This window comes from Homo sapiens, chromosome 19 (genome assembly GCF_000001405.40).
Source record: "Homo sapiens chromosome 19, GRCh38.p14 Primary Assembly".
Lineage (NCBI taxonomy): Eukaryota > Metazoa > Chordata > Mammalia > Primates > Hominidae > Homo > Homo sapiens.
In genome coordinates, this window is record NC_000019.10 from 12,314,802 (window position 1) to 12,341,035 (window position 26,234).

The following is a 26,234-nucleotide window of genomic DNA, read 5'->3' on the forward strand; positions in this document are numbered from 1 at the left end:
TCTACCACTGCTTCATTCCTGATGTGAATGAATACCTTGAAAAGAAGGGGCTGCCACTCAAGGCCCTCCTCATAACTGACAACGCTCCTGGCATCTCTCTTCTCTCTGTTATGCCGATAAAAATGGGGAAGTGATGTTCCTGCCTCCTAAAACTACATCACTGCTACAACTACTTGATCAAAGCATCATCAAGTGCCTCAAGGTGTCTTACACCCACTGGACTTTTGGAAGGATTTATGCTGTCTTGATAATAACCCTCACCATGTCATACAGGATTTATGGAAGAGCTTCCCAACTGCAGAAACGATTGTGTTTATTGCGGAGGCTGTAAATGCCCTACAGCTCAAGACAGCCAAAGTGTGTTGGAAGCCATTATGGAGTGAGGAAGTCAATGATTTCAGGCGCTTCTGCACTATCGATATGATAGTCAGAAATATCTTAAATGTAAGGAAAGTTGGTGGGGAAGGCTATCTCTGACACAAGTGAAGACAATGTTGAGGAACACACAGAAGAGCAAAGAAGAAACCTTTACTAACAAGGAACTAGAAGATATGCTGAAATCCTCTATAGATGATGATGATGATGATGTAGATTTAGAAGAGGCAGTGCCGCCAGGCGTGGTGGCTCACGCCTGTAATCCCAACAGTTTGGGAGGCCGAAGCGGGTGAATCACCTGAGGTCACGAGTTTAAGACCAGCCTGGCCAACATGGTGAAACCCCGTCTCTACTAAAAATACAAAAATTAGCTGGGTGTGGTGGCGGGCACCTGTAATCCCAGCTACTTGGGAGGCTGAGGCATGAGAATCGCTTGAACCCAGGAGGCAGTGTTTGCAGTGAGCCGAGATCGTGCCACTGCACTCCAGCCTGGGTGACAGAGTGAGACTCAGTCTCAATAAATAAATAAAGAGGCAGTGCCATAAGTGGTGGCTCATGCCTGTAATCCCAGCATTCTGAGAGGCCAAGGCAGGCAGATCACTTGAAGTCACAGGGAGTTCAAAACCAGCTTGGCAAACATGGCGAAACCCTGTCTCTACTAAAAATACAAAAATTAGCTGGGCATGGTGGTGCATGCCTGTATTCCCAGCTACTTGGGTGGCTGAGGCAGGAGGATCACTTGAACTTGGGAGGTGGAGGTTGCAGTGAGCTGAGATTGTAATCCCAGCTCCTCAGGTGGCTGATGCAGGAGGATCACTTGAACCTGGGAGGTGGAGGCTGCAGTGAGCTGAGATTGCACCACTGCACTTCAGCCTCAGCGACAGAGTGAGACTCTGTCTGAAAAAAAAAAAAAGAAGCAGTGCTATAGATTTTGATACTTGAAAAATCTGAAGGCTGGGTGTGGTGGCTCACCCTGTAATCCTAGTAATTTGGGAGGCCAAGGCAGGCAGATCTCTTGATTCCAGGAGTTCAAGACCAGCCTGGGAAACATGGTGAAACCTTGTCTCCACAAAAAACACAAAAAGTAGCCAGGCATCGTGATGTGTGCCTATAATCCCAGCTACTTGGGAGGCTGAGGTGGGAAGATCACTTGAGCCCAGGAAGTTGAGGCTGCAGTGAGCCATGCACTGTAGGGTGACAGAGTGAGATCTTGTCTTAAAAAAAAAAAAAAAGAAAAGAAAAAGAAAAAAAAAGAAAAATTGGAAGCAGTTTTAGGGCACCTACAGCTTCTACAAGGCGCAAGTGTTAAAGATTATCATCCTCAATTAAGATTCTTCCATGGAACAAAGCCTCCATGTCACCCCAGAGATTACATGCTCACAAACGTTGCAAAGTTTAAAAAAAAAAAAACTAGCTTCCTACAATGTTTCTAATTAAATATCTGCAAATATGAAGACAGCCTTCAATGCTTAAAGATCTTCAGTCCTCAAATTGAACAGATTCTGACATTAGTATTATTTAGACTGCTCCAAAAATTCAGTATCTGCAGTCAGAATCTGTTTCTTCCAATATAGTTGATCATGTTGACATCCTGTCAAGATTCGAGTTAGCCTGAGGTCTCACTGCTTATCTGTGGTGTCACACATCTAGCTGACTCAACACATCACAACATTAGGCACGATATTGCAATAATCATCATTACACTTTTGTTGGGTGAATGTTAACACATTTTCAGGTCATTAAACAAAAGCAATCTATGAGTGTTGAAAGAAAAGATTTATAATGCTCTAGGTGACATGTATTATGTGGGTGGGTCTGTACTGAATATGTGTAGGGTCTTTCTCATATCATGATTCACTAAACAATATAATAACAACTATTTACATAGCTTCTATGATGCATGATGTATTTTAACTAATCTACAGATGATTTAGAGTATACAGGAGGATGTGGGTAGGTTACATGCAAATATTTTTTATTGTTATTATTTTTTTGAGACAGGGTCTCATTCTGTTGCCCATGCTAGAATGCAGTGATGTGATTTTGACTCACCGCAACCTCAACCTCCCAGGCTCAAGCGATCCTCCCACCTCAGCTTCCCTAGTAGCTGGGACTACAGGTACATGTCACCACACCTGGCTAATTTGTGTATCTTCTGTAGAGACAGGGTTTTGCCACATTACCCAGGCTGGCCTCTAACTCCTGGGCTCAAGTGATCCACCTGTCTTGGGCTCCTAAGGTGCTAGGATTACAGAGGTGAGCAACTGTGTCTAACCCAAATATGTCTTTTCTTTCTTTCCTTTTTTTTTTTTTTTGTGTGTGTGACAGAGGTTGTTTTGCTCTTGCTGCCCAGGCTGGAGTGCAGTGGCGCGATCTTGGCTCACCGCAACCTCCGCCTCCCGGATTCAAGTGATTATCCTGCCTCAGCCTCCTGAGTAGCTGGGATTACAGGCATGTGCCATCACATCCGGGTAATTTTGTACCAAATATGTCATTTTTAAAAAAGGACTTGGCATGTGTCGATTTATGTATGCCCAGGGGGTGGTAGAACCACGCTCCTGCAAATATTAGGGGATAACTGTATTTGAAAGAAACTGAGGCTTAAAATTAAGGCTTTACTATGTGTTTACATTCATAGGGTTTATCTCCAATGAGAATTATTTCTATCTGAAATGAAATAACATTAAAGAATACTTCCCTACATTTCACACATTTATAGAGTATCTCTCCAGTGAGTCCTTTTATGTCTATGCAAGGACCTGAGAGAACTCAATGCTTTTCTACATTTCTTACATTCATATGACTTCTCTCCAGAGTGAATCCTTTCATGTACTTTTTTTTTTTTTTTGAGACAGGGTCTGGCTCTGTCGCCCAGGCTGGGGTGCAGTGCATCTTGGCTCACTGCAACCCCCACCCCTTGGGCTCAAGAGATCTTCCCACCTCAGCCTCCCAAGTAGCTGGGACTACAGGGGCATACCACCACACCTGCTACTTTTTCTATTTTTTGTAGAGACATGGTTTCACCATTTTGCCCAGGCAGGCCTCAAATTCCTGAGGTCAAGCAATTTGCCCACCCTAAGTGCTGGGATTACAGGCGTGAGCCACTGTGCCCAGCCTCATGTACTTTTAAGTTACCAAAATGACTGAAGGCTTCCCTACATATTTTACACTCACAGAGTTTTTCTGCTCTGTGAGTTGTTTTATGTTGACAATGGTGTTAAAAAAAAATCGATCACTTTCCCACATTCCTTATATCATACAGCATCTCTCCAGTGTGAGATATTTCATGATTTTGAAAGGAATAAAAATTATGAAAGGCTTTCCCACATTTACATTTATAGGGTTTCTGTCCAGTGTAAGTTTATTCATGATATCAAAGGGAACTGGAAATATAGAAGGCTTTATAATAGTTTACATTCATATTGTTTCTCTCCAGTGAGTCTTTTCATGTCTTTGACATACACTGGGATAAACAAAGGCTTTCCCACATACCTTGCATTTATTCGGCCCATCTCCCGTATGCATTACCATATGTCTTCGAAAGCTTGAGCTATGAGATAACGCTTTCCCACACTGCTTGCATTCATAGGGTTTCTCTCCACTGTGAGACTTTTCGTGTCTTTGACATACACTAGGATAAACAAAAGCTTTCCCACATATCTTGCATTTATGAGGTCCACCTCCAGTGTGCATTATCATGTGTCTTCGAAAGCTTGAGCTATGAGATAACGTTTTCCCACACTGCTTGCATTCATAGGGTTTCTCTCCAGTGTGAATTCGTTCATGATATCGAACTAAACTGGGACGATCAAAGCCTTTCCCACATATCTTACATTTATGAGGTCGATCTCCAGTGTGCCTTTTCATGTGTATCTGAAAGCTTCCAAGATGATGAAATGTTTTCCCGCATTGCTTACACTCATAGGGTTTCTCTGCACTGTGAGTGGTTTCATGTCTTCGAAGGGAACTGGAAACACTGAAGGCTTTCCCACACTGTTTACATGTATATGGTTTCTCTCCAGTGTGAGTTCTTTCATGTCTTATATAGGAACTGGAATCAGGCAAGGCTTTAGAACACTGCTTACATTCATACGGTTTCTCCCCAGTGTGCATTCTCTCATGTCTTCGATAGGAACTGTAAAAAGGAAAGGCTTTAGAACACTGCTTACATTCATACGGTTTCTCTCCAGTGTGAGTTCTTTCATGCATACGTAATAAACTGGGCCAAAAAAAAGCTTTCCCACACAACTTACATTTATAAGGTCTATTTCCACCTTGCACTACCATGTGTCTTCGAAGGTTTCTACGAGAACTGAAGGTTTTTCCACATTCCTTACACTCATAGCGTTTCTTTCCAGTGTGAGGCCTTCCACGCGACTGAAAGGAGTGATGGTAACTGAAGGCTTTCCCACGTTGTTTATGTGTATGTGGCTTCTCTCCATATTCCTGATACTCATGTGGTTTGTGTCCAGAATCAACTCTGATGTGGCTATTAAGGGATAAATGACCCATTATGACTTCTTCACACTCAGCGCTTTGACATGGATCTTCTCCAGGACAAATGCTGTTGTTCACAATACTATCTCGAATGAGGCTAAATGTTTCTCCACACTGACTACTGTCTTTACTTTCACTGAATCTCTCTACCATATGACATCTGTAAAAAATGAGTAGTACGTTACTAAATAGTTGTTTCTAAATGATTATTTATTTATGTGTATTAATAGGTATTGGATGTACTTTTTTTTTTTTTTCCCTGAGATGGAGTCTTGCTCTGTCACCCAGGCTAGAGTGCAGCGGCACGATCTCGGCTCACTGCAATCTCTTCCTCCCGGGTTCAAGCGATTCTCCTGCCTCAGCCTCCCAAGTAGCCGGGATTAGAGAGGCATACGCCACCACGCCCAGCTAATTTTGTATTTCTAGTAGAGACAGGGTTTTGCCATGCTGGCCAGGCTGTTCTCGAACTTCTGACCTCGTGATCCACCCCCCCTTGGCCTCCCAAAGTGCTGGGATTACAGAAGTGAGTCACTGCGCCTGGCCAGATATACCTTTTTATCATTACCATGCAAAGTGTAGGCTTCATGCCCTGTTTGAACATGAATGAACTGAATGCTATGCAAGACAACCCAACACCAGCTGGGTTTTTTTTTTTTCCTTTTCTTTTTAATTAATTAATTTATTTTTTGAAACAGTATCTTGCTTTGTCACCAGGCTGGAGTGCAGTAGCAGAACGATGGTTCATGCAACCTTGACCTCCTGAACTCAAGTGATCTACCTACTTCAGCCTCATGAGTAGCTGGAACCATAGGTGTGCACCAACACACTTGGCTAATTTTTTTTTTGAGACGGAGTCTTGCTCTGTCGCCAGGCTGGAGTGCAGTGGCGCAATCTCGGCTCACTGCAACCTTCGCCTCCTGGGTTCATGCAATTCTCCTGCCTTGGCCTCCCAAGCAGCTGGGGTTACAGGTGCATACCCCCATGCCCAGCTAACTTTTGTACTTTTGTAGAGACAGGGTTTCACTATGTTGGCCAGGCTGGTCTCAAACTCCTGACCTCAAGTAATCTGCCTGCCTCAACCTCCCAAAGTGCTGGGATTACAGGCATGAGCCACCATGTCCAGCCTCATATGTAAATTCTTATAAAATGTTTTAGGAGGAAATTTTTTAAGAATAAATAAATTTAGGCTGGTGCAGTGACTCACACCTGTAATCCCAGCATTTGGGGAGGCCAAGGCAGGCAGATTGCTTGAGCCCAGGAATTCAAGACCAGCCTGGGAAACATGCCAAAACCCTGTCTCTACAAAAAATACAAAAATTAACGAGGTGTGGTGGCTTGCACGTGTAGTCCTGGCTACTCAGGAGGCTCTGGTGGGAGGGTCACATGAACCTGGGAGGTCGAGTCTTCAGTGAGCCAAGATCATGCCACTGCACTCCAGCCTGGGCAACAGAGCAAGGCCCTGACTAAAAAAAAAAGTTAATTTAAAAAATTAAAAAATAAATTTAAGCTGGACTTGTTCATTTTCTTTGTTTTTAAAATTTCCTTTTACTCTGAGAATCACTTCAGAAACATAACTTTCTCCTGTGAGTGCAAATTACCTTAGATTTCTCCTAGGATTTTTGTACTGATCTTCAGTATTCTGTTCTTCCCATATCATTCCTAAAAGGGAGACCCAGAAAATCACTATACATTATTAGAAAATTATATAAAACAGTAAGATTTTATGTATACTGCAATCATACATGATTCGTTCATCAAACTACAGTTAATTCTGTACAGTTTGGGGGTGGAGGCAGAGTCTCACTCTGTTGCCCAGGCTGGAGTGCAGTGGCACGATCTCGGCTCACAGCAACCTCCGCCTCCTGGGTTCAAGCGATTCTCCTGCCTCAGCCTTCCGAGTAGCTGGGACTACAGATGCGTGCCACCACAACCAGCTAATGTTTGTATTTTTATTGGAGACGGGGTTTCACCATGTTGGTCAGGCTGGTCTCAAACTCCTGACCTCAAGTGATCTTCCCACCTCAGCCTCCCAAAATGCTGGGATTACAGGCATGAGCCACCATACCCGGCCTTACAGTTGATTCTTGAACAACACATGTTTGAACTGCACAGCTCCACCTACATATGAATTTTCTTCAGTCTCTGCTACCCCTAAGACACCAAGATCAATCCCTCCTCTTACTTAGCCTTCTCAATGTAAAGATAAGGATAAAGACCTTTTAATCATACACTTAATGAATAGTAAATATAGTTTCTCTTCTTTATGATTTTCCTATCAATATTTTCTTTCTCTAGTTCACTTTATTGTGAGAATATAGTATGTAATACATGACTTACAATATGTGGATTAATATGGATTAATCAACTTTTTTTTATTATTTTATTTTATTTTATTTTTTTGAGACAGATTCTCGCTCTGTCACCCAGGTTGGAGTGCAGTGGCGTGATCTTGGCTCACTGCGACCTCTGCCTCCTGGGCTCAAGTGATTCTGCTACCTTAGCCTCCTGAGTACCTAGGATTACAGGCATGCGCCACCACGCCTGGCTAATTTTTGTATTTTTAGTAGAGATGGGGTTTCACCACGTTGGTCAGGCTGGTCTCGAACTCCTGACCTCATGATCCGCCCACCTTGGCCTCCCAACATGCTGGGATTACAGGTGTGAGCCACCGTGCCCAGCCAGTCAACTGTTTATGTTACCAGTAAGGCTGCTGGTCAATGGCGGCTTAAGCTATGGTGGACAAAAAGTTAGATGAGGATGTACAACTTCTTTCAGGGCTGTCACCTCTGAATTCTGTGTTGTTCAAGAGTCCATCATATGCCCTTTCCATATTTCAAATCATTGAACAGCACTGATGACCATGAAACAAATGTCTGTAATTGATTAAGTGAAGACATGGTATCATCCTTACTTATACAGTCCAGGTTCCTGATGGTTTCTTGCATCACATATCTGTATAAATTCTTCTGTGATGGACCCAGCAAAGCCCATTCCTCCTGGGTGAAGTTCACAGCCACATCCTCAAAGGCCACTGCGTCCTGAAACATCCCACATAGATAGAGGAGAAAGGTTGAGTGACAGTACTGAAAAAACTATACTCAGTTCATAAACTTCATATGATGCTGTGCTTTCCAAGCATTTATTCAATGATGTAGTAAACTCTCTCATATTCTCTTTACACTCACTTTCTCTCACACAGCCATTTTGATGGTAGAATTCAACATGTTTGGTAAAGTTACAGTTGAATAGGAACAGGTCTCTTCTTGGTGAGTTAAATGAGTCTTATTGCCTGCATCACCCTAATGTCTATTTCTGTAGTAGGTTGTAGTTCTTGTCAAAGTCCTACTGACAAAGTCCTACTACCTATTGTGCAGAAGAGAGCTACCATTAGCAGTCCTGAGACTGCATGTCCTTACAAATTCTTATTCTCAAAGTTGGACCTTTTATGGTGTCTAGGAACTGGATTTAGGGAGTGCCCCACCAATGTAACTAATAACAGAGCTCGATTGTATCTAAACTGTTTGTGCAAAAAGTACATTATTTTCTTAACTCCTATGTTCTGAGAGTTTAGAATCTTACAAACTCAGCAGAGGGAGTGTATGTGATCAGCCACTGCTGAGTTTGAATGGTTGTCCCCTCCAAAACACATGTTGAAAGTTAATCCGCAAAGTGGGAGTAATAAAAGGTGGGGATTGAAAAGGTGATTGAGTCTTGAAGGTTCAGAGCTCATGAATAGATTAATGTATACATGGATCAATGGCTTAATGAATAAATAAGTTATCTCAGGAAGGGGACTGGTGTCCTTATAAGATGGAAGAGACCCGAGTTAGGCACTCCGGCCCTTGCCATGTAATGCTTTATGCCATCTAAGAACTCTGCAGAGTCCCCACCAGCAAGAAGGTTCTCACCAGATGCCCAGCCTTAACCTTGGACTTCCCAGCCTCCAGAACAGTAAAAAACAAATATTGTTCCTTATAAATTATCCAGGTTCAGATTATTCTTAAGCAACAAAAAACAGACTAAGCCAGCCACCAAAAAACACTATAGGCACTGGGTCTCTAATGAGAGACCCTGGTAGATAAAATTTCACATGTTTTTTTGCAACTGATTAGTTGGAGGATTCGGCACATCCTCTGGGATTATACTAACAGAAAATCTGGAAGCTGGTAACTGGTTTCCTCTAGACCAAATGTAGTTAAGCATGACAAATAAATAATAAAAGATATTTCACCATCCCAATGGAAAATTTTTGAACATCTTATTGGGTAATGTCAAAGGAGAAGGAAAGAAGGTCAATGAGAGAATGTAATATTAGAAAAGAACTCAATGTTATCTCTTATGAATATTTATAAAATTCCCTAAATAACTAAAACAGACCTAAATAACCAAAAATTTCACTACCAGCTAGGTACCATGGCTCATGCCTGTAATCTCAGTACTTTGAGAGGCCAGGGCAGATGGACCATTTGAGCCCAGGAGTTTGAGACCAGCCTGGGCAACATGGCGAAACCCTGTCTCTGCAAAAAAATACAAAAAAATTAGCCGGGCATGGTGGTGTGCCTGTAGTCCCAGCTAATTGGGAAGCTGAGGTGGGAGGATCACCTGAGCCCAGGATGTGAAGACTGTAATGAACCATTATTGAGCCACTGCATTCTAGCATGGGTGATACAGTGAGACTCTGTCTCAAAAAAATAAATAAAATTACATTATCAAATCTAATAGAAGTCACAAATGTCTAAAAATGCTAAAAAACCTCCTCACTGGCCGGGTGCGGTGGCTCACACCTGTAATCCCAGCACTTTGGGTGGCTGAGGTGGGCGGATCACCTGAAGTCGGGAGTTCAAGACCAGCCTGACCAACATGAAGAAAACCTGTCTTTACTAAAAATACAAAATTAGCCAGGCGTGATGGCGCATGCCTGTAGTCCCAGCTACTCAAGAGGCTGAGGCAGGAGAATTGCTTGAACCCAGGAGGCAGAGGTTGCGGTGAGCCGAGATTGCGCTATCGCACTTCAGCCTGGTTGACAAGAGCGAAACTCCGTCTCAAGAAAAAAAAAAAAAAAAAAAAAAAACCCTCTCACCAACAAAGTGACAGCTTTGCAAAAACAGATAAAGGATTTTGAAACTATAATATTCAGCACCCCATACCATTAATAAAGAGATAAACAAATAGATAAATAAAAGTGAAAAAATGGTAGAAAACCCTTATGGAGTTTTTATTTGTCCTTGGCCCAATCACACCCCACCTCTGCGCCAGTCTTGAAGACAGCAGCCTGAGATCCCAGTGAGGAACTCTGGTCACTAATTCTAGAGAAAGCAGATCAGATGTTATTCACAAATTATTGCCTTTGTATTTTCCAGTCATTATGGGGATGATCAGAAGGTGTGAAATAAGGCTGTCTTTTCTATTTCATCTACAATGGAATCCAGTTAGGGTCAAACATAAGAAATGCTGAAAAATGGTGCAAAATACACAAATAGCCTGCAACTACTTGAGACAGCAGACTGTAATTAAGACATACATTAAGGCCAGGCACGGTGGCTCATGCCTGTAATCCCAGCACTTTGGGAGGCCAAGGCGGGCAGATCATGAGGTTAGGAGTTTGAGACCAGTCTGGCCAACATAGTGAAACCCCGTCTCTACTAAAAATATAAAAATTAGCCACGCTTGGTGGCGCATGCCTGTAACCGAGTAGCTGCAGCAGGAGAATCGCTTGAACCTGGCAGGCAGAGGTTGTGGTGAGTCGAGATTGTGCCACTGCACTCCAGCCTGGGCAATAGAGCAAGACTCCATCTCAAAAAAAAAAAAAAAAAAGACATACATTAGCCCACCTAAGTCTAAAAGGAAAAAACTGGAGAGAAAATTTCCTTCAGGAATTAGGGTATTCAAAAGCACCCATTATATTGTGGAACTGAGAGAGCCACATGCACTCATAGGAAAGAACATATTTTCATAGAAGATGTGAGGAGACCCTTATTTTCAGCTCTGGCATGTTTCTAGGTTTAGTAAAACAGAAAGTAAATGCTACAGCAGAGTTTTAAACAGCCTTGCTAAGTGTTCAAGGAATTGCTCCACAAGAGCCATCCACAAAGACTGGAAGAGGTCAGGTTTTTGTATGTTTCATCTTCCTTCTTACTTTTAGCTTGTAGCATTCAGGAAATCTCTATCAGAACACAAATGAACACAAGCTAAAGAACAGAGACTTCAGTGTGTACATCAGATAGGGAATAGAGTCTCTGCAAACACACTTTGAAAATGTTACTAAACAAATGAATAGTTACAGCCTTCATCAAACAAGAACAGCAAACAATGAAGGGGACAGAATCTGATTTCCAGATGCAAATGTCTACTTTTCAATGCACACAAAATTAGGAAAAATAGAGAGAAACATGAAAATATGGCTCATCAATGGAAAAACCTGAACTGAGATAAACCATCTCTAAGAAACCTCAAACATTGGACTTCTTGAATGAATAAAAACTTTAAAGCAACTGTCTTAAATATGTTCAATGAGGTGAGGCAATGATGAAGAAAAAACTAAAAGAAAATCAGAAAATAGATTTAAAAAATCAATAAAAATTAGAAATTGAGCAATATAGAACTAATGCAGCTGCAAAGTACAACAATCAAAAGGAAGACTTCACTATAGATGTTCCACAGATGTGAACAACCAAAGAAAAAAATCAGAGGCCAGGTGCGGCAGCTCACGCCTGTAATCCCAGCACTTTGGGAGGCCGAGGGGAGCGGATCACTTGAGGTCGGGAGTTCGAGACCAGCCTGGCCAACATGGTGAAATCTCGTCTCTAATAAAAATACAAAAATTAGCCAGGTGTGGTGGTGCATGCCTGTAATCCCAGTTACTCAGGAGGCTGAGGCAGGAGAATCGCTTGAACCTGGGAGGTGGAGGTTGCAGTGAGCCAAGATTGTGCCACTGCACTCCAGTATGGGCGACTGAGACTCTGTCTCAAAAAAAAAAAAAATCAGCTAAAATCAAGATAAAACAATTGAATCTACCCATTCACAGAAGCGGGAAAGGTCAGGGGATGAAATGGAAAAAATGTGTGACTGGTATACCTGCCTTGCCAGTAACGTTAAAAGAAGTTTATTAGAGAAAAGAGAAATGACACAAGTTAGAAATTCACATCACATTAAATGAAGACATAAAAAATGATTTACTTTTCTTATACTTTCTTGATCTAATAGATATGTTTGCTCAAAATAATAGTATCAACAATGTATTGGGTGTTATAGGTCACAATTGTGCAAATGAATGACAGTGATGATTCATGGAATGAAAGGAAGAAGTTTCAAACAGTTTATTATACCAGCACTACCCCTGAAGCCAGTATAGTGTTTTTTGAAACTGAAGGTCCATTAGTTGTGAATGGTATAATATGTATCCTATGGAATTCACTAAAAAAATTAAGAACCAAGTACTATACTAATAGGATAAGAAAATCATATTCTGCTCAACTAAAATCAAAGACGGAAATAGAGAGGTAGTTGAGCTGGGTGCGGTGGCTCAAGCCTGTAATCCCAGTACTTTGGGAAGCTGAGGCAGGTGGATCACAAGGTCAGGAGTTCAAGACCAGCCTGGCCAACATGGTGAAACCTCGTCTTTACTAAAAATATAAAAATTAGCTGGGTGTGGTGGCGGGCATCTGTAGTCCCAGCTACTCGGGAGGCTGAGGCAGGAGAATCGCTTGAACCCAGGAGACGGAGATTGCAGTGAGCCAAGATCGTGCCACTGCATTCCAGCCTGGGCGACAGAGTGACACTCCATCTCAAAAAAAAAAAAAAAAGAAAAGAAAAAGAAAAAAAGAGGTAGTTGAAAAAACAGACAAGTGCAACAAATAGAAAACAGTAATATACATATACATATTAATTCAATTATGTCAATTACTACATTAAATGTGTATTATCTATATTTACCAGTAAAAAAGACAAGGACTGGCAGAGTAGAATAAAAATACAAAGCCTAGCAATGTGTACATAAAAAACATTTTAAACAGAAAGACAGAGATACATTAAGTAGAGAAATATATGCCATTCTAGCCCTAATCAAAAGGAACATGAAACAGCTCTATTACATTCAGACAAATCGGGTTTTAGATTAAGGAAAATTATAAGGCATAGATAGTGAGTTCAGAATGATAAGGAAAGTCAATCCTACAAGAAGACATAATAATCCTTAATATTTATGCCCATAAAATAGAGGATCAAAATACATAAAGTAAAAAATTACAAAAACCACAAGGCAAAATACACACATCTACAATTATAGTTGGAGGGAAACAACTCATCTCTATCAATAATTCACAGATCAGTTTGTCAGAAAATCACTAACGATATGGCTGAAATCAATAGCACTATTAATCAGCTGGATTTCATTGATACGTGTTTACAGAATCCTTCATTCAACACTAGCAGGGTATATATTCTTCTCAAGCCCACATGAAATAGTCACCAAGATGCACAAAATTCTGAGCCATAACACACACTAGAACAAATGTTTTAAAATAGAAATTCCAGGCCAGGCATGGTGGCTCACACCTGTGGTGCCACCACTTTGGGAGGCCAAAGTGGAAGGATTGCTTGAGGCCAGACTGAGCAACATAGTGAGACCTTGTCTCTATAAAAGTATAAACATTAGCCAGGAGTGGTGGCATGCACCTATAGTCCCAGATAATCTGAAAGTTGAGGCAAGAAGATTGCTTGAGCCTAGGAGTTGGAGGCTGCATTGAACTATGATCATGGCACTCCACACTACCAGCCTGTGTGACAGACCACCACCCTGTCTCTTAAAAAAGAGAAAAGAGCTGGGTGCGGTGGCTCATGCCTGTAATCCCAGCACTTTGGGAGGCCAAGGAGGGCAGATCACCTGAGGTCGGGAGTTCAAGACCAGCCTGACCAACATGGAGAAACCCCGTGTCTACTAAAAATACAAATAGCCGGGCATGGTGGCACATGCCTGTAATCTCAGCTACTCAGGAGGCTGAGGCAGGAGATCACTTGAACCCAGGAGGTGGAGGTTGCGGTGAGCCGAAATTGTGCCACTGTACTTAAGCCTGGGCAACAAAAGTGAAACTCCATCTCAAAATAAATAAATAAATAATAAATAAATAAATAAAAGAAATTATATAAAATATGTAATCAGATTATAAACCAATAACTTAAATATAGTTGAAAAGTCTCAAAAAAGTGGAGATTTAAGCCACAAATTTCTCAAGTACACAGATGTCAAAGAAACTTGTCACATGAAATGCAAATATTATGGTGCTGATGAAAAAGGATATATTTTAGCAAAATCTCTGGAATGCAGAAAAGGCAGTGCTTTGAGGGAAACTTAAAGAATCGAATGCATTCTCTAGAAAGTAAAACTCTAAAATCAGTGCTCTAACTTTCCATCTTAGGAAACTAGAGAATAGCAAGATTAATGTAAATCAAGCAGAGGAAAATAACAATGGGAAGAGATATTAATGAAATAGCAATCAAGAAATCAATAGAAAACATCAACAGGCTGGGCGCGTTGGCTCATGCCTGTAATCCCAGCACTTTGGAAGGCCAAGGCAGGCGGATCACGAGGTCAGGAGTTCGAGACCTGCTTGGCCAACATGGTGAAACCCCGTCTCTACTAAAAATACAAAAATTAGCTGAGTGTGGTGGCACATGCCTGTTAATCCCAGCTACTTGGGAGCCTGAGGCAGGAGAATCACTTGAACCCGGGAAGCGCAGGTTGCAGTGAGCTGAGATCACACCACTGCACTCCAGCCTGGGTGACAGAGCAAGACTCCATCTCAAAAAAAAAAAAAAAAAGAAAAGAAAACATCAACAAACCAACAGATGATTCTCTGAAAAGATCTGTAAAACTGATAAGCCGACAGCATAGTTAACACAGAAAAAAGAGAGGCCATCACTACTAACCCTATGGACATTAAGAGTGCCATGAAAGAATATTAGGAACAACTGAATGCCCACATATTTGATAAATTACATGGAATGGACCAATTTCATAGAAGACACAGTCTACCAAAACTCATAAAAGTAACATCAAGTAATATGAATAGGTCTATATCTATTGAATAAATTGAATCAATAAATGATAAATATCCCAAGAAAAAGGAACAGACCAGGATGATTTCACTGGTGATTTATGGCAAATACTTATGGAAGAAATGATCCCAATTCTCTACAATATCTTCCAGAAAACAGAAGTAGGTAGGTAGGTAATACTTTCTTTTCTTTTCTTTTCTTTTTTTTTTTTGAGACGGAGTTTTGCTCTTGTTGCCCAGGCTGGAGTGCAATGGCACCATCTTGGCTCACTGCAACCTCTGCCTCCCAGGTTCAAGCAATTCTCCTGCCTCAGCCTCCCGAATAGCTGGGATTACAGGCGCCTGTCACTAAGCCCAGCCAATTTTTGTATTCTTAGTAGAGACGGGCTTCCCCATGTTGGCCAGGCTGGTCTTGAACTCGTGACCTCAGATGATCCATACACCTCGGCCTCCCAAAGTGCTAGGATTACAGGCATGAGCCACCACGCCCGGGGCAGAGGTAATACTTTCTAATTGATGTTATAAGGCCAACATTGCCCTAGTACCAAAAATAGACAGACATTACAGACATATCTCCACCACTGAGGACATAAGGGGAAAACTGCCATCTTTAAACCTGGAAGCAGGCCCTTACCAGAGATCTGACCTACTTGAACTTGGATTCCCAGCCTCTACTGAGAAATGAACAACTGTTGTTTAAGGCACGTAGTTTATGGCAATCTGGTATAGCAATCCTACGTAATTAAGACAGGGAAGCGCTTTCTCTACCACACATCAAGGCTTTGAAGTCTACAGTAATCAGGAGAGTATGGTGTTAGCAAAGTGATGGGTACAAAGTCCAATGGAAGACAGCAAATTCTGGAACAAGAGCATCTATTTAAGGTATGAGAAACTATGGCACAGCAGGTATTGCCAGGCAGCGATACAAATGACAGCTACTTCAACCCAAAGAACAGGGACAAATTGTTATCTCCAGAAGAATAACCAATCTTCTGCCTAACACCTCCATATACAATAATCAACTAATTACAGACCTGCCTGTTTTCATGAATTTTTATTCACTCTATTACCTCAGCTTCCATTTTGAATGTGGTTCTCTACCTTTCTCATACCAGAAAAAGTATTTTAAGAGCCTTGAGACAGTATTCATTTTTCTGTAGTCATCATGGAAGAAAGTTTTTTCCAATTTATTTTCCCTGATGGCATTTTCTCTGCTAAGCCCTGAAATTCTATTGAGATGATCCAATTAAAAACAAAACAACAGCAACAACAAAAAAACAGACCTGGAAAACTTACTACACAGGCTCTGTGTAGTACGACAGAAAAGAAAAGTAAACAAGAATTTTTTAAAGGCATATAGGACTAGATATATGTAATTTGTTTTCTGAAATCCAACTCTTTCTTGTCCCTTTAGAAACATCTTCTCTATCAATCTCTAATGATAGAATGCATTTTACAGCTAAGAAAAAACTGAACAGAAATGAGTGAACAAATCTTTTCAAGGTTGACAACCTCAGGGAGGGGCAGTGCTGACTGGAACACAGACAAGTCTCATTCAAGGGTCAGGTCAGGTCCTCCTGTCACCTGGGACATCCCCCACCCCCGTGCTGCTCACTGAAGTGCTCAGTGACTACTCCCTACCCCCAACCACCAGATACCGCACTGTGTACTTTCAGGCTCTTACACCACCTCACTGGGGTAAGTTATCTTTGACCTTTCGGATAGTTTTTCTTGCTTCACTAGTCTAACAGAATTCAAAGGATGGGAATCATTTCTATTTTACCCCCTCAATACCAGCACCTGAGTGGCTGACCAGCCATGTCTCCAAGAAATGAAAACTGGGCTTGGGGTGAGAAAACTGAGTATCCCAGGGCTTAACTTTTTACAAGAGGATACCAGGGGAATCCTCCCACCACAGGGTATCCAGCTCTTCCCCTGGGAGGCCCCAGCCCTGCATCTCAGGCTGTCCTCTGGGAGGAGTGGCCCAGGGGCTGATATTCACTACCCTCCAAGACAAGGCTGCTGTATCCACTTGGTGCCAGTCCCAGGCAGTTATCAAAGCCAGTACCAGGAAAAGATAGTGTGGGCTCAGGACTCATCAGCTGGTGGTTTCCAAAGGGGAACCTCAACCCAAACACTTCCAGATAAGGTGCCTGTGCCCAGAGAAGATAAAAGGAGAAGAGGCGCAGACATTTTTCTTGTTGGTTTTTACAGCAGAGTGGTTAAACCACCTGACAGGTGGTTATTCTCTGCATCCTCACATATGAAATATTCACAAACAAAAATCATATCTTCTAAAAAAGAATCATATATTGCTACCTGGGGAAAAAAATGACAGTTAAAATACTGTATTTGTTTGAAATACAGCCTGGGGGACAAAGAGTTCATTATGTTGCTGTGAACTGAGGACAGTGTAGAGTCTTAATTAGGGAAAAGGCTAAGGGGAACAGGGGAAAAGGCTGTTAAATTAAAGTCTTAATTAGGGAAAGGCTAAAGGGAACAGGGGAAAGCAGAAAGATAAAACAAAAAAGCTATAAATCTGCCTATCTTCATGTGCAGAGAATTTAAACAAAAGAGAATGCAGGTAAGTTACGGGTCTAACTTTGTTTTTTTTCTTTTTTCTTTTTTTTTTTTTTTTTGAGACGGAGTCTCTCTCTGTCGCCGGCCCAGACTGGAGTGCAGTGACGTGATCTCAGTTCACTGCAACCTCCGCCTCATGGGTTCAAGCGATTCTCCTGCCTCAGCCTCTCGAGTAGCTGAGATTACAGGCATGTGACACCACGTCTGGCTAATTTTTGTATTTTTAGTAGAGAAGGGGTTTCGCCATCTTGGCCAGGCTGGTCTGGAACTCCTGTACATGTCTAACTTTCTTTATGGCCCAAGACATGGCCTTCTTGCCCAGATAACGCACTTAATTCACAGACTTCCTGCTCACCATCAAACGCCTCAATTTATCAAACACCGGGGCTGACAGAGGAATGCAAGTTAAGCTCCCTGCTGCCTTGGCACTCTGCTGCCTTGGCACTATCAATCAGCCCAAGTTCCATTCTATAAAATCACCCACAAGCCTCTGCTTCTCTCCTGCAGGCTTCCCATGGCCTCCCTTGCGATGGATTTTGCTTCTTTCGCTAATAACTTTACCTACAACTGTCTTAGTAAAAATTATTTTACCCCGGCGTTACCGGCCCAGATAGCAGTCGTTCCCCTGTGACGGAGAGGAAGTCAGCTTTATGAAATGCAGGGCAAAATCTGGAAATCTAGGGATTTACTGCCAGCCCCAGGAGTTAGGGTGAGGGGACAAGATAAGCATTAGACATCTGCCTTCCCAAACCTTTGAAGACTCAGAGGGACACCGGTCCCCTTTAGGAAGAAAACAGAGACTGAGGATCCCACAGATCACAGCTCCTCACAGGCACGAACCCCACACACGAGTGGGGATTCCCTCCATGACCCTTCCGTGACCCTCCCCCAATCCTGGGGAGATGGGGGGCTGCGGGCGAGGAGCTGCCCAGACAGGGCTCCGAGGCCGGGACCGCAGTTGCCGCGCAGGGACCGGATAGGACGCCCGGGGTCCCGGCTGCCAGCTCAGCCTCACTCTGTGGCTGAGGGGACCGAGGGTCGAGCTGCGCCAGGGGGACTCGGGTCCCAGACCCCGGAGCTGACGGCGGGGGAGGCCCACGTTCGCCGCGGCCGGTTCTGGACGGTTCCAACCAGCTCTTTCCCACTTTTGGGACGCCTGACCCTGCACACGCACCATTTCCCGGCTTCCGGGATGTTCCAGGGTCCTCCCTCTGCCTCCCGCTGCCAGTGCGGGTCCCACTGTGACAGAGGCTGCCACAGACGTTCCAGGGCGTCTCTCAGCGACTGAGGCTACACAGACGTTCCAGGGCGTCTCTCAGCGAGCGACTGAGTCTAGAGCTGAGCGCAGGGGCGTGAAGACGCCGCGGGCTCTTTGAACCTGGCACCCTACTGCCAGCCGTGCGCCTGATTGACAGTTCTCACGACCCCGCCCCATAGCTCTGATTGGATAGGGCTCCAGGTCCCGCCCCCTGGGCACTGAGTGACAGAAGAAGCGATCACACAGTGCTGAGTCGAGCGGGATGAACGAGTTCCAGGCACAGCCCTTGACAGGGCAGGCTTCCTCCCTGTGCTGTCCTGATCCCTCCCAGGGAACATTTGCATTTATGCAGAATTACCTGCCCGTACTCAGCAGGCCCTTACTGCCTTTTCCTCCTGGAGAAGGAGTCACAAGTGTTTTGCAGGGAATCCCAGACTCACAGTCCAGTGGAGCCATTCCCCTGGCCTCAGAGCAGAGGGGAGCCCAAGGCCACACAGGCCACACTGCAGCAGGAGGGTGGCCTGATGTCCACCGGGCATCAGGATTTGAGGATGAGACTCTTGGCGGCAAGGTTAAGCCTTCCTCTCTCACCTTGCCTCTCAATCTGCTCATTTTCAGCCAAGGAAATAAAAACAAGTCAAGAACGGTATTAAAATATCAAATGTGTGGAAGAACTGAAATCACACGGCAGCAATAAATGAATGAATGAATCAAAACAAAAATACAACAGGAAAAAAAAAGCAAAAACTTGAACTAGTGCAGATAAGCAGCCTGCTGCCCTCATACTTCAGCAAACGTCCCATTCAGGAGGCTAAACATATGCCCAAACTTGGCAGCCACTCTTAACTGTTGAAATGGAACCCCAGAGTGAACCAAAACCTGGTGATGAGACTGGGACACTGAAGGATTTGACTCTGGGAGCTCAACATACTTCCCTGTGCCCTCTGCAGAGTGTGGAAATGCCCCCACCGTCAAGATGTGCATTTTCACCAACAGGAAAGTTTCATGTAAAGTTAGTTTAAGGGCCCGGGGCGGTGGCTCACGCCTGCAATCCCAGCACTTTGGGAGGCCGAGGCGGGTGAATCACCTGAGGTCACCAGTTGGAGACCAGCCTGGCCAACATGGTGAAACCACATCTCTACTAAAAATACAAAAATTAGCTGGGCATGGTGGCGGGCACCTGTAATCCCAGCTACTCGGGAGGCTGAGGCAGGAGAATCACTTGAACCTGGGAGGCGGAGGTTGCAGTGAGCCGAGATCGTGCCACGGCATTCCAGCCTGGGTGACAGAGTGAGACCTGGTCTCAAAAAAAAAAAAAAAAAAAAAAAAAAGGTTACTTTAAGGTACTGACCTACATAAACTGTCAAATTCATAAACCCTTTACCCAGATTTTCCTAACACATAAATGGTAAATTCTGATTCTATGTGCAGCTTCGTGCTACGTGGAGGCGTGCGCAGGCTGCTGAGGAAGCACCAAAGGGGGCTCCATTTCTCTCCCTTTGCAGCCTTCAGAATGGGCTCGGTGTAGAGTCACTGGTTCAAACTCTGCTGCCCACTCCAGGTGGCTGGGGCTCAGAAAACAATACCCCAAAAAGAAGACCTTGGAAGAAGCCTCAGAAGCAAAAGTTTTTTCTCCACAGAGGGCAGAGGAAAAACTTAGTCCCATTCTTGGGACTCTTAGTCCTACTCTTCTATCCAAGGCTAGCCTTAGAAACTAGAATCTCTCTTCTCCAAAGTGGGTCGTAGAATCCAGAACCCTTTTCCCCTAAATCCAGGCATAAAATCAAAACATACTACTCTAACTTTCCATTGTCCTTTCTGTGTAAAAACTGGCCATAAGCAAATTAACTGTCCAACTTTGTTTGACTGCAGGTCAGGGTGGCCCTGGGGCTTCCCTGGGCCACATTGGAAGAAGATGAATCGTCTTGGGCCACATATAAAATACACTAACACTAACAATAGCTAATGAGCTTAAAAATATATAGCAAAAACAAAAATTCCTAATGTTTTAAGAAAGATCATGAATTTGTGTTGGGCTGCATCCAAAGCCTTCCTGGGCCATGGGTTGGACAAGCTTGCTGTAGGTCATAAGACCCTCCATTTCAGAGTGGGTCCTGCCTCATACTGAGAAGGAAGGAATGCATGCTCAGAAAGGCCAAGAACAATCTAGACACACAGGCCTTGTTGGGTTTCCCCACTCAGTCTGTTAGCATTGGATCATACTCTTTCAATCTAATCACATTTCTACACGGCTGTCCATACATTAAGCCTAAGCATTAAAATGAACAATTTCCTTTGTATCTCTGGGTCTTCATTCTGAAGCTTCCTGGATATACGCGTTAAATAAAATTTGTATGCTTTTCCTCCAATTAATCTGCCTTCTCTCCAATTAATTCAGCAAAACATCAGAGGGCAAAAGGGAATGTTCCCCATGGCCTCTGTAAGAGTCTTCACTTGCTTCTCACCAGCACTGATGAGTTAATTGAAACAAAGACCCTCAATTCCACTGTTTGAATAAAAAATTGACAATCTTGGGTTTCTTCCTGTGTCTATATATAAAGTAGTGGAAAAAATATATATAAGATATTTAATAGGGATTTGGAAACTGGTAAATGGACTGGGCATGGTGCCTTGGGCCTGTAATCCCAGCACTTTAGGAGGCAGGGGCAGGAGGATTGCTTGAGCCCAGGAATTGGAGACCAGTCTGGGCAACACGGGGAGATCTTGGTTCCTCAAAAACAAAACAAGGCCAGGCGCGGTGGCTCACACCTGCAATTCCAACACTTTGGGAGGCTGAGGCGGGCAGATCACAACGTCAGGAGTTCAAGACCAGCCTGACCAACATGGTGAAACCCCGTCTCTACTAAAAATACTAAAAATTAGCTGGGCATGGTGGTGCGTGCCTGTAATCCCAGCTACTCAGGAGGCTGAGGCAGGAGAATCGCGTGAACCCAGGAGGTGGAGGTTGTGGTGAGCTAAGATCGCACCATTGTACTCCAGCTTGGGCGACAGAGCGAGACTCCGTCTCAAAAACAAACAAGCAAACAAAACCAACTGGTAAATAATTATTCTGTTGAGAAACAAACATGCTAACAAACTATTATTTTTACCTTAGCAAACTGTTGTGTAAAACAACTAATTAAATGTGAGCTCTCCTCTCTCCTTGGCTTCAGTCACTCCCTGACCTTCATAGCTCAGGGTTGACATCATGTGCTCTGTGCCTGGGGATGGACATGTCCCATTTATCCATCTGAAACCCCCTCTCAACCCCAGCCCACACCATTGACCCAAACAGTCATATCTGTATCTAAATCCTAAGTATTGTACAAATACATTTTCCTTTTAAGCAAACTGGCCCAGGTTGAATTCACCTGTGGTTCTCATGCCCACAGTTTCATTTATTCATTTGAAACAGTCTTCTCAGATAGTAATGTCTTGGGTGAGGACACATCCATTTTATTTGCTTCTGTTCTTCTTAACCTGTGTCACTACCTGCTCAGTGAGGGCACAGACAGAATATTCTAAGTGACTATCAGCTGCTGTAAATACTGGAGGTCTCAGCACAACCCTGAGAAATCCGCACCAGAGAAAGGATGTGTGAATAATATTAATGTCACCCCTTACCACAACAGTTAGCTTATTTCTCTCTTTTTTTTTGAGACGAGCTCTCGCTCCATCACCTACACTGGAATGCAGTGGCACCATCATGGCTCACTGCAGCCTCAACCTCCTGGGCTCAAGCGATCCTCCTACCTCAGCCTCCCGAGAGGCTGGGACTGCAGGCATGTCCCACCATGCCTGGCTAATTTTTGTATTTTTTTGTAAAGATAGGGTTTCACCACGTTGGCCAGGCTGGTCTAAACTCTTAGACTCAGATGATCCACCCACCTTGGCCTCCCAAACTGCTGGGATTACAGGTGTGAGCCACGCTGTCTGGCCATTTTATTTTCCTTTCTGGAAAAAGGCTTTTAAAAATGGTTTTCCGGTTTTCTGGGGTACTTTCATACACAGCAATACAGATGATAAAAGTAAACATAACACCATTCAGTTTGGTTTCATTTATATGATTTAACTTTTCAACAGTTAAGAAACCAAAACATTCTGTCAACCTTAATTGGATTTCCCTGAATCTAAAAAGTGCCAGGAAAAAAATTCTACAAATAAAAACATGTAAGAGTCACTGAGGTGGTATGAAGAACCCTGAGAAGGTGACATTTAATGTGAGACATGAAATAATATATTAGTGTAAAAACTCAGGGCAAAGCCAGGTGCAGTGGTTCATACCTGTTAACTCCGCCCTTTGAGAGGCCAAGGCTAGAAGTTCAAGACCAGCCTGGGGAACAGAGTAAAACCACCATGTCTACCAATAAATAAATAAATAAATAAAAATTAGCCGAGCATGGTGGCATAGAACTGTAGTCCTAGCTATTCAGGAGACTGAGGCAGGAGGATCACTTGAGTCTAGGAGGTCAAGACTGGAGTGAGCTATGATCACACTGCTGCACTCCAGCTTTGGCAACAGAGTGAGACACTGTCTAAAAAAGAAAGAAAGGAAGAAAACAAACAAACAAAAAACCCTCAGGGCAGAGGATTCAGGGTAGATGGCAGGGTACCAAGCATAAAGAAGCTGTCTCCCCACCTAGACAACAGTTTTACTGGCAGAATCTGTCTGATGGAGCTATTTTATTTATTCTTATTTTTTGAGACAGAGTCTTGCTCTGACGCCCAGGCTGGAGTGCAGTGGCACAACCTCAGCTCACTGCAACCTCCACCTCCTGGGCTCAAGTGATTCTTGTGCCTCAGCCTCCTGAGTAGCTGGGATTACAGGTGTGTACCACCACACCCAGTTAATTTTTTGCATTTTTAGTAGAGATGGGGTTTCGCCATGTTGGCCAGGCTGGTCTTGGACTCCTGAACTCAAGAGATCCACCTGCCTCGGAAAGAGCTGGGATTGCAGGTATGAGGCACCACACCCGGCTTGATGGAGCTATTTTAAAACACTACAGTTGGCCAAGCGCAGTGGCTCATGCCTGTAATCCCAGCACTTTGGGAGGCCGAAGTGGGAGGATCACCTGAGGTCAGGAGTTCGAGACCCACCTGACCAACATGGAGAAACCCTGTCTCTATAAAAATACAAAATTAGCCATGCATGGTGGCACATGCCTGTAATCCCAGCTATTCGGGAGGCTGAGGCAGGAGAATCGCTTGAACCTGGGAGGCAGAGGTCGCGGTGAGCCAAGATCACACCATTGCACTCCAGCCTGGGCAACAAGACTGAGACTCCATCTCAAAACAAAACAAAACAAAACAAAACAAAACAACACACTACAGTCTATTGAAGCCTTGAAAATTCCAGAAAATGATTTGGATGGTAAACTGTGGTTAATTGTGGCCATTTCAACATTCAGCATAGGACCAGCTGGACTTCTCCCCACTACCTCTGTTGCAGGCAGCCATGCACATGTATTTTCCTCCAGTTTGGCAGTGGGGTCTCTCAGGAGTTTGGCTATGAACTCTAGTGCTGCCATGATGGGGCTCCAGGACATCTCGTTGTGATGTTTACAGTGTGCTTTCCACAGGACACTTCATTCTGGTGAAGGGACTAATGTTTAAATGTCAATCAGTGACCAGGTGTCCCTCACAGGAAACTTGGTGGTTATACTGGCCGATGTCCTTGTGGCTCTTGTCTGACATGCATCCAGTTGATTTCTTTTTTTTTTTTTTTTTTTTTTTTGAGATGGAGTCTCGCTCTGTCACCCAGGCTGGAGTACAATGGCGTGATCTCAGTTCACTGCAACCTCCGCCTCCTGGGTTCAAGCGATTCTCCTGCCTCAGCCTCCCGAGTAGCTGGGATTACAAGTACCCGCCACTACGCCCGGCTAATTTTTGTGTTTTTAGTAGAGGCGGGGTTTTACCATGTTAGTCAGGCTGGTCTCAAACTCCTGACCTCAGGTGATCCACCTGCCTCAGCCTCCCAAATTGCTGGGATTACAGGCATGAGCCACCATGCCTGGCCAGCATCTAGTTAATTTCTATCAAAATAGCCACTCTATACAGAGCCTTGACCTGGAAATAAGTTGGAATTAGGTGTAGCAGTCAGGTGAGACATGTAGGAGGGCATTGAGCAGGCCAATATATGCACTGTGGGAGCTTCAGAAGGAGAAGAGAGAGAGAGAAGGTGAAGGGAGAATATTTTGAGAAATAATGGAAGAACACATTCTAAATTAAGTGAAAGCCATGGATGTAGACATCCAAGAAGCTCAACGAACTCTAAGTAGGATGAATACAAAGAGAAACGCATAAATGCACATTATACTAAAGCTGTCAAAAGCCAAGGACAACAAAGATAATCTTGAAAGCAGCAAAAAAGAAGTGATTCATCACATATAAATGATCCTTCATAAGATCAGTAGATTTCTCATGAGAAATGTTGGAGACCAGAAAATAGTGGGCAGATGTTAATCAAAGTGCTAAAAGAAAAATAAATGTGGCCAGGTGCGGTGGCTCACATCTGTAATCCCAGTACTTTGGGAGGCCGACATGGGCAGATACCTTGAGGTAAGGAGTTTCAGGTCAGCCAGGCCAACATGGCAAAACCGGTCTCTACAGAAAATACAAAAATTAGCCAGGAATGGTGGCATATGCCTGTAATCCTAGCTACTCCGGAAGCTGAGGCAGAAGGATCACTTGAACCCATGAGGCGGAGGTTGCAGTGAGCCGAGATCATGCCACTGCATTCCAGCCTGGGGAACAGCGTGAGACTCTGTCTCAAAAAGAAAAAAAGAAGAAGAAAAGATAAGAAAATGTAACCAGGCATATAGTCACAGCTACTCAGGAGACTGAGGTAGGACCACTTCGGCTTAGGAGTTCAAGATCAGCCTGGGCAATATAGTGAGACCCTATGTCAAACATAAAAACAAAAACAGTCAGCTAGGCATGATGGCTCATGCCTGTAATCCCAGCACTTTGGGAGGACAAGGTGGGCGGATCATTTGAGGTCAGGAGTTCAAGACCATCCTGGCCAACGTGGTGAAACCCTGTCTCTACTGAAAAAAATACAAAAATTAGCCAGGCGTGGTGGCGCAAGCCTGTAGTCCCAGCTACTCAGGAGGCTGAGACAAGAAAATCACTGGAACCTGAGAGGAGGAGGTTGCAGTGAGCCAAGATTGCACCACTGCACTCCAGTCTGGGCGACAGAGTAAGACTCCATCTCCAAAAAAAAAAAGTCAACTACGAATCTAATATCTGTCAATACTGTTTTTCAAAAGTGAGAAAAAAATTAAGACTTGCCCACATGAAAAAACTGAGGTAGTTTTAAAAATTATTATTAGATGTGCTCTGTGAGAAATGTAGAGTATTTTGCAGTTTGAAATAAAAGAACACTGGGAAAAAAAAAAAGAAAAGAACACTGGATGGTATCTGGAAGGTGTAGGTGGAAATAAAGATCTTAGTAAAAAGAAATACATGGACAA

At 43.6% G+C, this 26,234-nt stretch overlaps 1 protein-coding gene across 7 annotated transcripts in view, besides 5 other annotated features; it reads right to left on the reverse strand.

Moving 5' to 3' along the window:
* Positions 1–2,675: 2,675 nt before the first annotated feature.
* Positions 2,676–26,234, reverse strand: part of ZNF563 (zinc finger protein 563) — a 29,914-nt gene continuing 6,355 nt past the window's right edge. Inside the window, exons 1-5 of one of the 7 annotated variants that reach the window (NM_001363608.1) lie at positions 18,679–18,832; positions 7,784–7,910; positions 6,471–6,531; positions 4,629–5,032; positions 2,676–4,510 (exon numbers count right to left, since the gene is read on the reverse strand). In NM_001363608.1, coding sequence (NP_001350537.1) covers positions 4,416–4,510; positions 4,629–5,032; positions 6,471–6,531; positions 7,784–7,910; positions 18,679–18,681 — 690 coding nt within the window. In that variant the 5' untranslated portion in view covers positions 18,682–18,832 and the 3' untranslated portion in view covers positions 2,676–4,415. Of the gene's footprint in view, positions 5,033–6,470; positions 6,532–7,783; positions 7,911–10,117; positions 10,424–18,678; positions 18,833–26,234 lie in introns of those variants that run through there. The other 6 variants (XM_005259750.5, NM_145276.3, XM_011527698.3 and 3 more) reach the window with 6 other exon arrangements.
* Positions 16,929–17,008: an enhancer, noted in NCBI's record as "active region_14049". NCBI's record gives its function as "activates an Ori minimal core promoter by ATAC-STARR-seq in GM12878 lymphoblastoid cells {active_cell/tissue: GM12878}" and the evidence as "EXISTENCE:reporter gene assay evidence [ECO:0000049][PMID:35858748]".
* Positions 18,186–18,295: an enhancer, noted in NCBI's record as "active region_14050". NCBI's record gives its function as "activates an Ori minimal core promoter by ATAC-STARR-seq in GM12878 lymphoblastoid cells {active_cell/tissue: GM12878}" and the evidence as "EXISTENCE:reporter gene assay evidence [ECO:0000049][PMID:35858748]".
* Positions 18,526–18,785: an enhancer, noted in NCBI's record as "active region_14051". NCBI's record gives its function as "activates an Ori minimal core promoter by ATAC-STARR-seq in GM12878 lymphoblastoid cells {active_cell/tissue: GM12878}" and the evidence as "EXISTENCE:reporter gene assay evidence [ECO:0000049][PMID:35858748]".
* Positions 18,888–19,753: an enhancer, noted in NCBI's record as "H3K27ac-H3K4me1 hESC enhancer chr19:12444503-12445368 (GRCh37/hg19 assembly coordinates)". NCBI's record gives its function as "activates a minimal SCP1, AML or CMV promoter by ChIP-STARR-seq in primed H9 embryonic stem cells {active_cell/tissue: H9 hESC(primed)}" and the evidence as "EXISTENCE:reporter gene assay evidence [ECO:0000049][PMID:30033119]".
* Positions 18,926–19,065: a silencer, noted in NCBI's record as "silent region_10147". NCBI's record gives its function as "represses an Ori minimal core promoter by ATAC-STARR-seq in GM12878 lymphoblastoid cells {active_cell/tissue: GM12878}" and the evidence as "EXISTENCE:reporter gene assay evidence [ECO:0000049][PMID:35858748]".